At 37.6% G+C, this 16,100-nt stretch overlaps 1 protein-coding gene across 22 annotated transcripts in view, besides 1 other annotated feature; it reads left to right on the top strand.

Moving 5' to 3' along the window:
* The window catches only part of GRIP1 (glutamate receptor interacting protein 1), a 721,908-nt gene that overhangs the window by 431,269 nt on the left and 274,539 nt on the right, over nt 1–16,100 (top strand). The window lies entirely within an intron of this gene.
* Nucleotides 9,756–9,895: an enhancer, noted in NCBI's record as "active region_6621". NCBI's record gives its function as "activates an Ori minimal core promoter by ATAC-STARR-seq in GM12878 lymphoblastoid cells {active_cell/tissue: GM12878}" and the evidence as "EXISTENCE:reporter gene assay evidence [ECO:0000049][PMID:35858748]".

Genomic DNA, 16,100 nt, shown 5'->3' with positions numbered 1-16,100 from the left:
GTGGCATATATCTAAATGGCCCTCAGACTTTACATACACCATGTGGAGTCTTGGCTGACAGCGTACAAAAGAATTTTTAGTGTTCACAGTGCATTTGGTAGCCAGCATGGATTTTTGTAGCACTTCCAGTAAAATTGTGATTTATGTAGCTGACTCTTTCAGGCAGTTCAAGTAATTTATTATATCAGAATTTTGCTTGCTTAGTTATCTGTCCCAGTTATGCCCTGAAACTTGAAGTTTTACACTCTGTTTATTTATGACCTTCCATTTCTCTCTCTCCTGCATTATCATATGATAGACAGATATGCTGGAAAATTGTGTAACGGAGCTGAGCAAGACTAGGAGGACTTGGGAGATCAGTAGAGGATTCTGCAGTCTTTATGGAAAATTGGCTCCCAGCGGGCTCAGATTTTGAATGAATAAAATAAGAAGTTGAAATTTTTAAGTCGAGCTTAATTACTTTAACTGTTTATCTTCTGTAAATTTAAAAAAAAACATACAAAAATAACAAGAGGAGAGATATAAAATTATTAACAAAAATTTCTGGACCAAGATTAATAAAATTAAGCTATATGCTTTTGGGTTTGCATATTTTTATTCATTTAAATTGTTACTATGTATACTAGATGTGTAAAATAAGAGTATGTAGTATGTAGATGGACATACATGTTTTAAAAAAGAAGACAAAAGAAGACATTCACATGCCCATCACCCAGCTTAAAATACAGAATATTGGTAACCATGTTAAGCCCCTCTATATCCCTCAAAGATTTCATCATCCTTTATCTTCCCAAATATAAGGTTGTCCTGTGTTTTTAAACTTATTTATCTTTTTTTATTATTTATTTATTTATTTATTTTATACAGTTTCTACTCTCCCATCAGTGTACATTTTGGTTGTTTCCAGATTTTGCCAATATAAATGATGCCCCAGTTAACTTCCCTCTACTTGTCTTATGTTACACACACGCTAGGTTCCCTGGAATGCACACCATGAAGCGGCCTGGCTGGGTTATGGGCCTGCACCAGTGCAGCTGTGCTGGACCAGGCCAGACTGTTCTGTGTCCCCTCCCATCAGCAGCATGTGACACCCGTTGCTCCACTGTTACTTAGTTTGCTCAGGCTGTCCTAACAATAGGTCATAGACTGGGCAGCTTAGACAGCAGAAATTTATTTTCTCACAGTTCTGGAGGCTGGAAAGTCTGAGATCAAGGTCCCAGCAAGATTTGATTTTCTGGTGAGGGCCCTTTTCCTGGTTTGCAGATGGCCACCTTCTCTTCATGTCCTCACATGGCACAGAGAGAGAGAGAGTGAGACACACACACACACACACACACACACACACACACACACAGAGATCTAATGTCTCCCCCTGTTTTATAAAGACACCAGCTCTGTTGGATCAGGGCTTCATGCTTAAGACCTCATTTTAACCTTAATCAGCTCCTTAAAGGCCCTATCTCCAATGCAGTCATATTGTGAAATGGTCAAGGTAGGGGGAGGTTAGGGTTCAACATATGAATTTAGGGTGGATGGGAGACACAATTCATTCCATAGCAATTAACAGATGCTTGCTATTGTCAGAAGTTAGATTTTTGTTTTCAATCTAGTGGATATAAAATGATATCTCATTGTGGTTGTTGGTAAACATTCACAACAAACTTTACAATTTTAACCATATTTAAGTGCGTAGTTCAGAGGCATTAAGTACATTCATATGGTTGTACAACCGTTAACACAATCTATTTCCAGACCTTTTTTTCATCATCTCAAGCTGAAACTCTACCTATTAAACAATAACTCCCCGTTCCCTCTCCTGTCAGCCCCTGGTAACCACCATTCTCTTTCAGTCTCTAGGAATTTGACTACTCTGGATGCCTCATAGAAATGGAACCATACAGTATTTGCCCCTTTTTGCCTTGCTTATTTCACTTAGCATAATGTCATCAAAGTTTATGTTATAGCATGTGACAAGACTTTCTTCCTTTTTTAAGGCTAATATTCCATTGTAAATTATTTGTAAACAGAATATTTTGTTTATCCATTCATCCATCTGTCGACAGTAGGGTTGCTTCCACCATCGGGCTGTTGTGAAGAATGCTCCTATGAACACGGGTGTACAAATGTCTCTTTGAGTTCCTGCTTTAAATTAGACTAAGGGTATATTACCATGGTTTTTAGTTTGCATTTCCCTGATTACTAAAGAGGTGAAATAGCTGATCTTACTTTTATTGGTCGTTACTGGCCATTAGTGATTGTGTTTTCTCTTCTTTAAAATATATGTTTATATCTTTTACTATTTTTAATGGGTAACTGGTATTTATTTTCTTTACTGGTTTTTAGAAGTTATTTATGTATTCTGGATACTAATCCTTTGTTTCTTTTATGTGTTGCAATTTTCTTCTCTTGATTTCTGATATTTACAATCTCTTTATGGTGGCTTTTTGTTGAGTAGAAGCCCTTAATATAATGGAATTTACGATGTTTTCTTTTGATGATTCCTTATCTTGTTGAATAATTATTCTTCCCTGAAGACATTCAGATATTAATTATTTAAAATTCCAGTCAAAGCAAACATGGATATTTTAGGAAGTAAAATGTAACGTATAAATTTTATTTCTTTTTTCTTTTTTTCTTTTTTTTTTAGAGACAGGGTCTCACTCTGTCACCCAGGCTAGAGTACAATGGTATGATCACAGTTTGCTGTAACCTTGAACTCCTGGGCTCAAGTGATCCTCTTGCTTCAGCCACCCCCTGCAAGTAGCTAGGACCACAAGCCTGCATCGCCACGCCCAGCTAATTTTTATTTTTTTTAATAAAGATGGGGTCTCGCTATGTTGCCTAGGGTTGTCTTGAACCCCTGACCTCAACCATCTTCCTACCTCAGCCTCCCAAAGTGCTGGAATTACAGGCATGAGCCACTGCACCTGACCCAAACTATGTATTTTAAACAAGAATGTTTAAGGTTAAATTTGAAATTCCATTTAACAAGTTATTTATTGACTCCTACTATGTGCCAGACACCATTAGAGGTCACAGATTATTTGTCCTCCTGGAGTTTATATTTGTTGAAGGAGAAAAACAATAGCCAAATGAACAAATAATATGATGCCAGGTTGTCTAGATGCTATAAAGAAAGACTAAAATAAATTTCTGTTATTGGGTCCAGAGATCTCTCCCACCCATGTGGGTTATGTAGAAAGCACAAGAAGAGTCCAACATTGGAAGCAGAGTGTGGCTGAAATGGTACAAATGATACCCCGTAGGCAGGGGTTCTAGTCCCAGCTCTATCACTAGTTCTGTAAATTGGGTGAAGCTCACATTCAGTTAAATGTGTGGATTGAATTAGATAATCTATATGACTTCTTTGCCTTGAAACATTTTCTTAAGTGTCTGAAAGTCAAAGAGATTTTACTGTGTTAAACCTCTTTGGGATAAACTGTTTAGAAGGGAAGAATATATGATCAATTTAAATTTTTTTTCTAAAGCTAAAAGAACTTAGTTCATTTCCAATTCTGATTCTTAACTCTGTGTCTCAGGAAGAGTAATTTTTTATCATTTCCAATAAAACCAACTTTAGATTCTAGCTGAAGCACTGTAAATGGAAAGCCATTTGTAAAGGGATTTCCCTATAATTAAGATGACTCTGCAGAGAAAGCTATAAAAGCAAGTCTTCCATGATTGGCTGCAAAAAGTAAAGCACTAAAATTGCCAAGTAATACTATAGATTTCAAAATTTATATGTATCTTTTAGAGCTAGTCTCATAAAAGGAATGGTTATTTAACAGTCTAAATTCCTGAAAATGGTTTTCATAGTGGGAAAAAAAATGTAACACATACTGCTATACTTCTTTATCTATGGACATTAACATTTAAATTTCACATTGGAAATGTATGGGAAATCTTTTCGTGGAATGAATGCTAAGTTAAATGTGACAGGTGATTGTGATAAATCACTACTTATTACCTGGAGGAGAAGAAAAGAAGCCTTTGTTGCCTAATGAAGTATAACACAACACACAAAGAAAATGCAAAGATAGACCATTCTTGAAGTCGAACATAAACCATTTTATGTCTCTGAAAAACTGAAGGAAAGGATATGAATCATATGCCTCTCATCCACCTGAGGGTTATCCTGGACTCTGACTCTTTTGAACTTGAAGCTTTACTGTTTTTGCACAATCACACTCTCAAGTGTGCTTAAAGGATGTTATTTGACTGCCTTTGGCAACTTCAGTTAAGACCTTGCCAATAGAGATGAGTGAAGCCAGAAATTGCTTAGGCTGTGGCCAGGGGTCACATAGCAGAGGGGGTAAGAGCACAGCTTATGAAATACAACTTCTTAGTTTCCTACTTCAAATTCTAGTTCTGTCACTTATAGTTAAAGAAATCTGGGCAAGTTATTTAACCTCGGGAAATTTCTACTTTTCTGTAAAATGCAGATAGTGGCAAGTTAATCCATGTCTTTACTGACTAAAAGAAAAAAAATGTGGCCATCTTCAGGTACTCAAAAGTTACAAATGCCATTTCCCTCTCTCTCCACATTCTCTTTCTGGATTTTTTGAATTTGTGATGAAAGTTTTATTTTTAAATAGTGATCTTAAAAGTTACAGACATTTGGCTGGGCGCATTAGCCCATGCCTGTAATCCCAGCACTTTGGGAGGCCGAGGTGGGAGGATTGCTGGAGCTCAAGAGTTCAAGACCAGCCTGGGCAACATGGCAAAACCCCATCTCTACTATATATATATAGTATAGTATAGTATAGTGTAGTATGGTATAGTATAATATATATATAATATATTTTTATATATATTATATATAATACATATAAAATACTCATATATATATATATACACACACATATATATATACACATACACACACAAAAATTAGCCGGGCATAGCGGCACACACATGTAGTTCCAGCTACTTGGGAGGCTGAAGTGGGAGGATCACTTGAGCCCTGGAGGTCAAGGCTTCAGTGAGCCAAGATTGTGTCACTGCGCTCTAGCCTTGGCAACAGTGAGAGACCCTGCTCAAAAAAATAAAAAAGTTACAGATATTCTTATATCTGCTACAGAGACTGACATATTCTGTATTCTGCCCTCACTGGGCCTTAAGCAAGTCACTTATACCCTGAGCTTCAATTTTCTTCTTTATAAAATAGAATCAATCCCAATTCATAAGGATTATAGGTCCCTCATAGACTCTGATACACCTTATCACTACATTAATGGATAAGAGCAGGATTATGCACAGTTTTCTTAAGCAGTGGTTTTAAAACTTGGATTCCAGTATGAGTTTCTAAGAATCTTGAAATCCCTCAAAATTGTATGTATTTTAATTTATATGTCTTTGTATTTCAATACATTCTTAAAAGAGTTTATGACCCCAAAGAGATTAAGAACCATTTCCTCAACATGAGACCAAAGAATTTTATAAAGCAAGACCTGAATGTGACCTGACCAAATGTGTCTATACAAATCGATAAGGAAAGTGTTCATTAGAATGGAATTTGGTTCTCACTGGAAAAAGGGAAGAAACCTTCCTTTTTGGGGAAGGAAGCATGGGAAAAAGGAGGATGGCAGAAGGAAACATTGGCACCATCCAGGGAAGAGAGGGTACCTCAGCTAGTGGTCTTCAAGTGTTCCAAGCCCAATAACTAGATCATCCCTGATGTAAAGATAGAGAGGGGTTGTTGCTGAGAGCTCCAAGGGCTCCAATTACAATGGCTTTGCCTTCTCTTTAGATAAAGCTTATTTTGTTTCCATTCCCTACTTGCCTTGTGACCTTCTGGTTTTATTTTTTCTCCCATGCAGTTCTGTTTATAGCAAGTGTTCTATACCTGTGACAACAAATGTCTTACTATACTTCCACCAGTCTCATTATACTCCAGTCCCCTTGGTTTGGTGATGCATTTCTTACTTCTGAGAAATGGGGCCACTCTTGACTTGCTGATAATGCAAGTTTCTACACCTACAAGGGAGAGGCCCAAAGATGAGAACCATGGTAAAATAACCAAGGAGCTGAATGCCACCTTGGAAGCCCTGGTAGGAGACAGGCTCCTGAGATCCTCTCAGTATTCTCACCTCCCCTTCACAGTCCCACATATGTTATTTTCCATTATGAGCTTGTGTAGGAAGAAATACCTACCTCATAGGGTTATACGATACTTAAATAAAATAATGCATATAAAATATGCAGCCAGTCCTTGGCACATATTCAGTGTTACATGTTCTGCTCTAGTTCTGTCACGTTAAAATACTCACCTTGTGACAATCCTCTGCTTAGATAGAAATTTCTATATCAACTGACTCACATGGTAGGACCACTATGCTGTAATTTGTCATCAGTCTCCCATAATAATAAGCATAGTATCACTTGTCTTTTTCCCTTTGTTACACAGAAAGTCAGATGATGACAGTAGATGGGCATCGTATTAAAAAGAGAGAGAGAGAAAGAGAGAAATCTCGCATCTTCTTAATGCTTGCTAAATGGAGGAAAATGGCAGCAATGAAAATGGGTACACTCTATATGACTTTAGTAGTGCTATTATACTCAATGAAACAGTTAGGTATAGATAGTATTGTTTTGTTAGTAGGTTTTCATGTTCTATTTGAATATCACCTTTAAGATCTCTTTTATCAGAGCAGTAAGCAGAGCCAATGAACAAATATTTATCAAGTGCCTATAATGTACAAGATGCTCTGTGGGAAACAAAAATCAATAAGAAATAACGCCAGCTTCAGCGGTTTTTTTCAATCAAGCCCATGCCCAAGAAAATATTAGCTTTCCTGATTTGCTTACTGTCATTGGAGTAATAGAAAGTTTTAGCCAGGCGCGATGGCTCATGCCTGTAATCCTAGCACTTTGGGAGGCCAAGACAGGCAGATCACTTGAGGTCAGGAGTTCAAGACCAGCCTGGCCAACATGGTGAAACCCCTTCTCTACTATAAATACAAAAATTAGCCGGGCATGGTGGCAGGCACCTGTAATCCCAGCTACTCTTGGTTGGCTGAGGCAGGAGAATCGTTTGAACCTGGGAGGCGGAGGTTGCAGTGAGTGGAGATCATGCCACTGCACTCCAGCCTGGGGGATAAGAGTGAAATTCTGTCTCCAAAAAAAAAAAGTTTTATTTTTCTCATCTATTATTACTAAAATTATCCCAATAAATATAGCCAACAAACGTGGAGATTTAGTTTTGCAGAAATGCTTTCTGGCTATTTCTTCTCTACAATGTAATCTCAGTAAAATCCTAAGAATAGACAGTTCTTCAATAGAGGCTTTCACCTATTTGAAAACATCTTTTATTGCACTGAAAATGTGATAAGATGCAGAAGCAGACTATTGCTTTGATTCATAAGAGAGTAACTGAACCACTCTGAGTCTCTGCTCACTGCCCTCATGTCCATGCCCTCATAGACAGTCTCATAATGATAGCACAGCTAACTTTTGAATGTATGGCCTTTAAGACACCCAGGAAGATAGACTCCATTTTAAACTGTTTTCAACTAACTTCTCCAAGACTTACTTTTCTCACCTGGCAAATGCGATTCATTCTTTCACTCAAAAAAATTTTTATACAAATCAAGCTCTAAAGTCCATGTTTTTTGCCCCATAAGAACTTAAGCCCCTTGAGGGAAGAGACCAGAGGAAAAAGTCCACATCCAGAGAGACTGAGAGTTGGGATTTGAGGACAGGGATTCTGATTTTTTTTTTTTTCCTTGACACAGAGTCTCGCTCTGTTGCCCGGGCTGGAGTGTGGTGGCTTGATCCTGGTTCAACCTCTGCCTCCCAGGTTCAAGGAGTCTCGTGCCTCAGCCTCCTAAGTACCTGGGATTACAGGTATGCACCACCATGCCCAGATAATTTTGTATTTTTAGTAGAGACAGGGTTTCACCATGTTGCCCAGGCTGGCCTCAAACTCCTGGCCTCCAGTGATCTGCCTGTCTCAGCCTCCCAAAGTGCTGGGATTACAGGTGTGAGCCACCACACCCAGCTCTGAATTTTTTTATATTCTCTTCAATACCTAGTAGAAAGAGCCTTGGATATTGTAGCTGCAAAATTTATTATTTAAAAAAAAAGTGTGTAAAGGCCCCCAAGCCCTGGCCTATACTTAATAGAGTAAAAACCCGAGATTCAAAGACTTTCAGGAAAAACAACAAGAACCAAAACTGGCTTGTGGGTCTTTTTAAGGTAAAATTAAGCTATATGAAACTAGAATCTTGACATATTTTCTCACACAAAATTTCAACATGGGAATGTAATAGATGAATGGGTTAGTATTCTTTCAAATGAAGGCTCTATGTATATTTAAAGAATTCACTCCCTCATGGAGAAAGCAAACATTTCTGGATGAAAGTAGGTCCAGTGTGGTTTGTAACATGCTTTTAAGTGTTATTTTAGTACATTGTTTCAGATTTGGTTTAATAATTAACCACGTTCTTTTCCCTGTGTTTTTACATTGTGTCCCTTCCAGAAATTGACTTCTGTGGAAAAATTACATTTGAATGTTCACTTGAGTTAAAGCTTTAAAGCAAATATTACGACTCAAGATTATAATTAGAGGCTTTAGAACTACCAGTCATCGAAGACATGGCTCAGTGGAATCCAAGCTTATTGTTATTAGGGAGCGGAGATGAAGTATAGGAGCTTGTATCACCTTTTGCTTCAGGAACATGACAGTGCCACTCTGATAACTCTGTGAAATGCTGGTCATCACATGTGTTAGGCTTCATGCCATTTGTGTCGTTAAGGCTTGTCAGCACTATGTGCTGCAAAGTGTGAGGGACTGCTCCAGCCAGGCTCATTCATTTTAATATGTCTTGTCAACTTCCCAAGAATATCCTAATGTACTAAAACAAATATTTTCTTGTGGAATAGAGCCTCCTCAATTACACCAAAATCCAGCCATACAATTCAGAACTTTTGTTTCTAGAATATGATAAATGAAAACAGAGAATTAAATTTTGCATGCTAATATGCATACTTGCAATAAAGAAGGAAAAATTACCTGAATGGTGTATTGTGTTTCAGAGAATAGATTTAACATTCCTTTAATGATAGCATTTAAAAATGATTGTTGAGTAGCTACTACTTGTGAGTGTGTGGAAGTACAATGGTGCAAAACAGACTTAGTCCCTGCCCTTTTGGAATTCATAGTTTGGTGGGGTAAAAAATAGATGCCTAACTCTAAACTGTGATTATTTATATAAGGGGTGCTTAACTTCAGCCCTATTGACATTTTGGGCCGGATCATTCTTTGCTGTGGGAGCTGTTCTGGGCATTGCTGGGTGTTTAGCAGCGTCCCCGGCCTCTAACCACTAGGTGCCAACAGCAACCTCTTCCCCAGTTGTGACAATCAAAAATATCTCCAGATGTTGTCACATAATCTCAGGAAAGGAGCAAATTCACCCCTGGTGGAGAGGTGCCCTGATTTATATGAAGGAAAATTACAAGAAATTTTGCGAATACACAACAAGGAAAACTAGGCCTAAATTGGCAAAGCTTTCAGAGAAGTGGCATGGTGATGTTTGTATTAAACTCTGATGAGGGGTTAACAGGACTAAAAGGGCTGGAGGAAGCAGGAGAGGAGGAGGGAAAATGAGAAAAGGAACAAGCTAGTTTAGATTTCCTGCTGAAGGCTGGTTCCTTGTACATGTTAGTACGGGAAATCCCTTGAAAGCAGGGCAGTGTTAGGGTCCTGTTCAGACCCCTGCTTTCACTGGAGGCCTAGGTACACAGGGGAACTCAAGGAATTTTTATTGAAGGCATAATGTATATTCCCTCTAACAGGCACAGTGATGAGCTCTAGAGATATAAAATTACCAAGCCATGTTCTCTGGTATCTGTGAGCTCACAATCTATTTAGAACAAATAAGGGATCTAGAGAAAGCCTGCTCTGAAGAGATGACATTTGAAGAATAGTGAAGGATGGGCAGGTGCCAGGTGGCTATGGCTTTCCCCAGCTGCTCCAAGCAGAGTTGGGGGATTTCTCCTCGATGCTTATTTTGTGGTTTGTTAGTGCTTCTGTCATCGTCCTTACAGCTCTGGGCACAACTAGATCTAAATGATCAAGTATTGGAATTCACAAACAAATCTCTTTCCTTTCTCCCTTTCTCCCCTAGCCTCCTCCTCACACTCCTGCTCTCCAGCCCTCTCAGGCTCTCCCTCCCTCTCACCCTCATTCCCAGGCAGGCAGGCTTCTCCCCAGGGAGCCCTTACACAATCCCAGCTCCAAGACTAGCAGAAGGAGATTTTCTTCCTTTGTAAAATTTCCAACAAAGGGCCTCAAGTCGAGTCCTGCTATGTCTGAGGGAATGACTCCCCGACTCTGAACCAGTCACTACACCCAGGGGATCCAGTGTTCTGATTGACTAGAACTAGGTCTCTGCAACCCCTTCTTCAAATCTGCAGGGAAAATCAGCTCCACTCAAATGGCATGGGGCTGACTTGGGGAAAGACGTATCCTCAGATAAATCCAGATACTATTAGAAGAAAAGGGAGAAATGGATGCTAATTAGACAAGAATATTACTCGTCCACTACAGTAACTTACTCACCCTCCCCAACTACACTGTGAGAACTGCTACAGTCAGCTTTGACACTTGTCAGACATATACTTGACACATGGAAAATATTCAATACATACTGTGGATATTTGCTGAATTAATGAGTGAATGAGAAAGTGAACTGATATTTTCACTTTGTTTTGTGTACTGAGCTCTGATGAAATGAAGAAGAATCAGGGAAATCAATTAGGAGTCTGTTTGGTAGTCCTGCCAGAGATTTGGTAGACTTGGTTGTTGTGTTGAATTTCAGGATTGCAGTCTCCTTAGCAGTACAGAAACATCTTAAGGATAGGCACCGGAATCTACCACAAAGAAATCATCTGATGAAGAGCCAATAGTAATATAGTATTTGTAAAGTGAGTGTGAGCTACCTTGACTGATGAGAAAGAACATCTAAGTATTCTTCATCAAAGGAATGAGTACAGCTGTCATAATGCTTTGTAGGGCAGATGATGGCCCAGCAGCCAGTGGCAGGTTAAGCAAGAGCCTAATCTGTAAGCACCTGTGGTTAGAAAATGGGAAGGCACAGTGTACAATGACATTTGGAGCTTAATGTCCATGGAAATGAATTACTTGGACCATGCAGGGATGGTCAGAGAGCATGAGAGCATGAATCCTGGCAAAATAGCATCAGTGCCAAGTTCTCGTTTGTCCTGACTCAGAGCCCTTTCTTCTTGACACCTGCAGAGTCATTTCTACAGAAAGAAGCAGGACTGTTTCTCATCAGGATTCTATGCTCGTGTCCAGAACTGTGAAATGAGGAGTGGTGACGCTGACTATACCTCCTTTTAATTGAGACAGTAAGGCCTTCTCACCTTCCCCAGCTTACTGGGGATGGGAACAGAACATAAGACACCAGCAGAAAGAGAAGCCAAGAGAAAGTAAGGACAGAGCACATTTATCAGGGCAAACTAAGCAAATGCTTTCAGAATATAGGTTATCCAGATACTCCTAGCTATGGGTGGTTTATATTCAAGACATTTAAGAAATGTTTCCTCAGTTTTCTCTAGAGAAATACTATACTATTTGTTGTGCACACGTAGTATTTATATTCAGAAGATAATATGTACTTTAGTTATAAATATATTGATTTTTAATTGAACTTTTGTTTGACTCTTTTAGCATTTGGTTTTAAAAGTAAATATACTTTTTTTTTTTTGGAGATGGGGTCTTACTCTGTCTCCCAGGCTGGAGTGCAGTGGTGCGGTCTCAGCTCACTGCAACCTCTGCTTCCCATGCTCAAGCAATTCACCCACCTCAGCCTCCCAAGTAGCTGGGAGCACAGGTGCACGCCACTATAGCTAGCCAATTGTTTTTGTTTGTTTTTTGTATTTTTGATAGAGATGGGGGTTTCACCAAGTTGCCCAGACTGGTCCCCAACTCCTGAGCTCAGTTGATCTGCCCACGTCGGCCTCCCAAAGTGAAAGATAAATAAACTGTTTTGTGTTTTTGAGACTGATAAGCTTGTTCTTCCCTCTGCCTAGAGAATCTCCCCTCCAGAAGTGGGCTGGTTCCTTCTTCTCATTTAAGTGTCAGCCCATGTCACATCCACAGAGAGTCATTCTCTTTCTGATAGTGCTTCCTCTCTCCCACTCTGGAACTCTCAGTACCCGAAATTCTTAGTAGGTATAAAATAAATATTTTATTAAATGCTACATGGGAGACACTTGCAAATGTCTCTATATACTCTTTATTCTATTTATATTTTTATCAAACTTCTCATCTAAGGAATAGCAACCCCTTACATTTGCTAGACTATCTTAAAATTATTCCTTTTTGGAAGCTCCATTTAAAATTTACGTTTGCATAATTTTTCCACCTCAGTGATGTTTCTCATTAAACTCTTAACACTTTAAAACTGCTTATGTTGGCTCAAATTTCAAGGGTAATTCCATCATTTTGAATTTCTTCATTTTATACCTACTGTCAGAAAGCAATTACAATAAAAAATCACTTATACTCACTATGGTTTTTCATATAATAGTATAAATGACTGTATTTCAATATAAATGTGTAAATTTTATTACTTTATTGAGTCCCTTTAAAAATTGATGTAACTTAAAGCACTGTAAATTCTCAGAAAAATGTGTTATAAGATCTACTGGTCATCTATTCATATGGGAAAGTACGTATGTGAAAATATGTCTGTATGCAAGTAGGATGCATAACCCAGATCAAGGAGTCAGTTCAGTTTGGGGAAAACATAATGTATACCATCCATAATGGAAGCAAGACAATAATGTAAATGATAAGATGCGAGTTACATTGGTTAAGAACAAAATGAAGCTATTATAATATATGCAACTTAAATAACATGGCAGCCCATCTGGTCACTTGAAGACCTTTCTCCAAATCTGTCCCCAGATTCATAAGTATAAGGTCATGACAGATAATAACATATGTCTCTTCCTTCCTGAGACCTTTCTGCCTTGTGTTTTAAATAAAGAATGACATTACAAGCTTACCACCTACACCAAACCTATTTAAAAAAAAAAAAAGGAACTGAAATACATGATCTAAAAGTAAAGTATAGTCTTGCCTTGATTTTCATTTGCATTTGACGTTTTAAAACATGGCAAAACCCAGTAATGAATTTTTACTTTGAGCCATTTCTAAATGTTTTGCTGGAAATTAGCTGTAAATATTACAGTCTCTGGAACAAGTTAAATTGGAAATGTTGCTCGTGCTAAATGAAATAATTAACTATGAATGAAAATCCTGATAGAAAAATGTACTTTTCACACATCTTTTACAGATGTGCTACACTGCATGGGAAATTTCACATGGAGAAAGTCAAATAACCACTGTCTTTCCTTAGAGATATATTTAAAAGGGGTAAGAGGTATGAAAATGAATGTATATGCTATTATCCATCAGCCTAGTACTTGCTGCAGAGGATAATTTCAATTCTTTGCTGTATGTACTTAGCCTAAATGATTGTTTTACATGCTTTATTTCTCTAATGCATTCAGAGAGAATCAATAAATTATATTTATTATTCAGAGGCAAGAGACATTTTGTAATCTATCCAATCATGAATTTCTAATGTATCTATTTTACTTTAAAATGTTACTTTACTTCTAATTTTTTTCTCTCTTTAGGGATTAATCACAATCATAGCAACCTATTACACATTTTGACGTGAAATTGTAAATCATCTTGTTACATATTTTTGCACTTTCCAAAATAAGACATTTTGTTTAATTATTCAAACCAAATTAATGGTGCTGATCTCTGTGCAACATAATCTAGACCTTTGAGAGGGCAAACATGCATATGGAAACAGAGGAACCAATTGAAATAATGCATTTTCTTACAAGGTTTTTAAATATTCAAAATCAGAGGAATGTTTAACTTCTATCTTATTGTAGAAATCTGTTTAGGTGGGAAAGATACTGACTCCTAGAGGATAAAATTGTATTTCCATCATCTAGCACAGTGCGTTGCACCCTGAAATTACTGAATAAATATATGAACAAATGAATGAATTAATTATAAAGGAGCTGTGTTTCAAAAAATGCTTCCCTGCAATAATAATAATAGTGTAGCTGAAGATTGGTTTTATTGAAGGAAACCAAAAGATAATAAATTTAAAAGAAAAAATTCATATATTCCTATAAAATGTTATGTGGAGCTACGACCAGCTAAAATGTCCTATGGTCATTTTAAGTAGTTGTTTGAGTACATTGATCAAATTGAAACCAAAGAGACATCAAAAACCAAATAGGAAATGTCTTTAATCCTGAAAATAAATATGGTCCACTTGCACTTGAAATGCCCAGTGCTTCCAGCAGCTGAGCCTACAGAAGAAATGAGGAAGTGACTCAGGTTCTGAGAAGAAACAGAAAGAGGGAAGGGATGACTGGTATGTGAGCCCCAGTTAGGAAACTTGGGGCTTCCAGGAGGAAAACTAGACCATAAATCTGAGGGTGATGTGAGCCAAGTTTAGAAAAATTATAAATTCCATGAACTTGACCATCCTTGTAAGACTGAAATGTTCAAGTATATATTGTTTCCCATTTAGTTGGAACTCATCATACCAAGAGATGATACAGACTGATCAACTTTAAGTAGGCCCAATCCCAGTTAGCAGCTATGTGACAATGGGCAAGCTACTTAACGTCTCTGTGCTTCTGTTTCATTTCCTGAATACTGCAGATAAGAATGCCTTATCAAGTTATTGTGAAGTTTAAATGAATTAATACTTATAAAGTGCTTATGACACTACTTTGATTAAAGATTTATGAAATAAAGTTCATTGAAGATAAATTATTAAGAAAAGCAGAGAGACTTAGGCTATATCTCTAAATGTTATGCCTCTCCATGAAAATATTTCTTGTAACTACTTCTAGAAACAGAAAACTTTTGGCAAGGCTATTAGTCTGGTTCATTCATTCATTCATTCGGCAGTTACCTACTGAGCATCTACTGTTCATCAGGAAGTATTCTAGATACTGAGGATATAGTAATAAAAATAAACTAAAATCATGCTCAATGTCCTCATGGAATTCATAATATAGAGGGGGAGACAGCTAAGTAAACAGTAATTCTGTATAGTAAATCTTGTAGTAAACAACATATGGGGTGCCGCAGGAGCTCAAACTAGCACATCAACCCTTTCACTGCATGAATAGTAGGTGGAAATAGGAACAGATCATGTGAAACATCCCGAAAGAGGGGATGACTGGGTTGAGACTAGAAGGATGAGTATGAGTAAGGCAGGTATAGGGAAAATGAAGAGTATTTTAGAGACAGAGAATTCCAGATCATTGAAGTTAGATGGCAAGGGGGAAATGAAACTAAAAAAGTAGGCAGGGACCAGGTAACAGAGAAAACCATGTGCCATGTTGTCTGGACCTTAAGATCAATTGGAAACAGTATTCAGTTGCCTGGCATGCTTGCTCTTTAGCCTCTCACATTGTATATATATTTTTTGGTTTTAATGGGTACATAGTATGTATTCATGGGGTATATGAGATGTTTTAATACAGGTATATCATGTATAATAATTACATTAGGGTAAATGGGGTATCCAGCATCTCAATTATCTTTTTTTGTGTTGCAAACAATCCAAATATATTTCCTTATTTTTAAATGCACAATAAATTATTGTTGACTGTAGCCACCCTGTTGTGCTATCAAATACTAGATCTTATTAGATCTTATTCATTCTATCTATATTTTTGTACCCATTACCCATCCCCACTTCCTCTCCCTCCTCCATCACATTGTATTTGTTTGGAATTTATTTGGGGCAAAAGTGACTTGTAGCATAACTCAAGGGTTCTGCTTAGAAATTAATTGTATTATAGGTTAATCAAAGTGGAATCAGTACAGTGATTTCTTGGATATGACACCAAAAGCACAGCCACCAGAAGAAAAAAAAGGATAAACTGGACTTCTCCAAATTAAAACCTTTTGTACATCAAAGTACATTATTGACAGAATGAAAAGGCAACCCATGGAATGGGAGAAAATATTTGCAGATCATATATCTGACAAAGAATATCCAAAATATATAAAGAATTTT

The sequence above is a fragment of the Homo sapiens genome, chromosome 12 (genome assembly GCF_000001405.40).
Source record: "Homo sapiens chromosome 12, GRCh38.p14 Primary Assembly".
NCBI classification, from domain to species: Eukaryota; Metazoa; Chordata; class Mammalia; order Primates; family Hominidae; genus Homo; species Homo sapiens.
The sequence above is the reverse complement of the archived record's forward strand: the minus strand, read 5'-3'. Positions and strand labels throughout refer to the sequence as shown.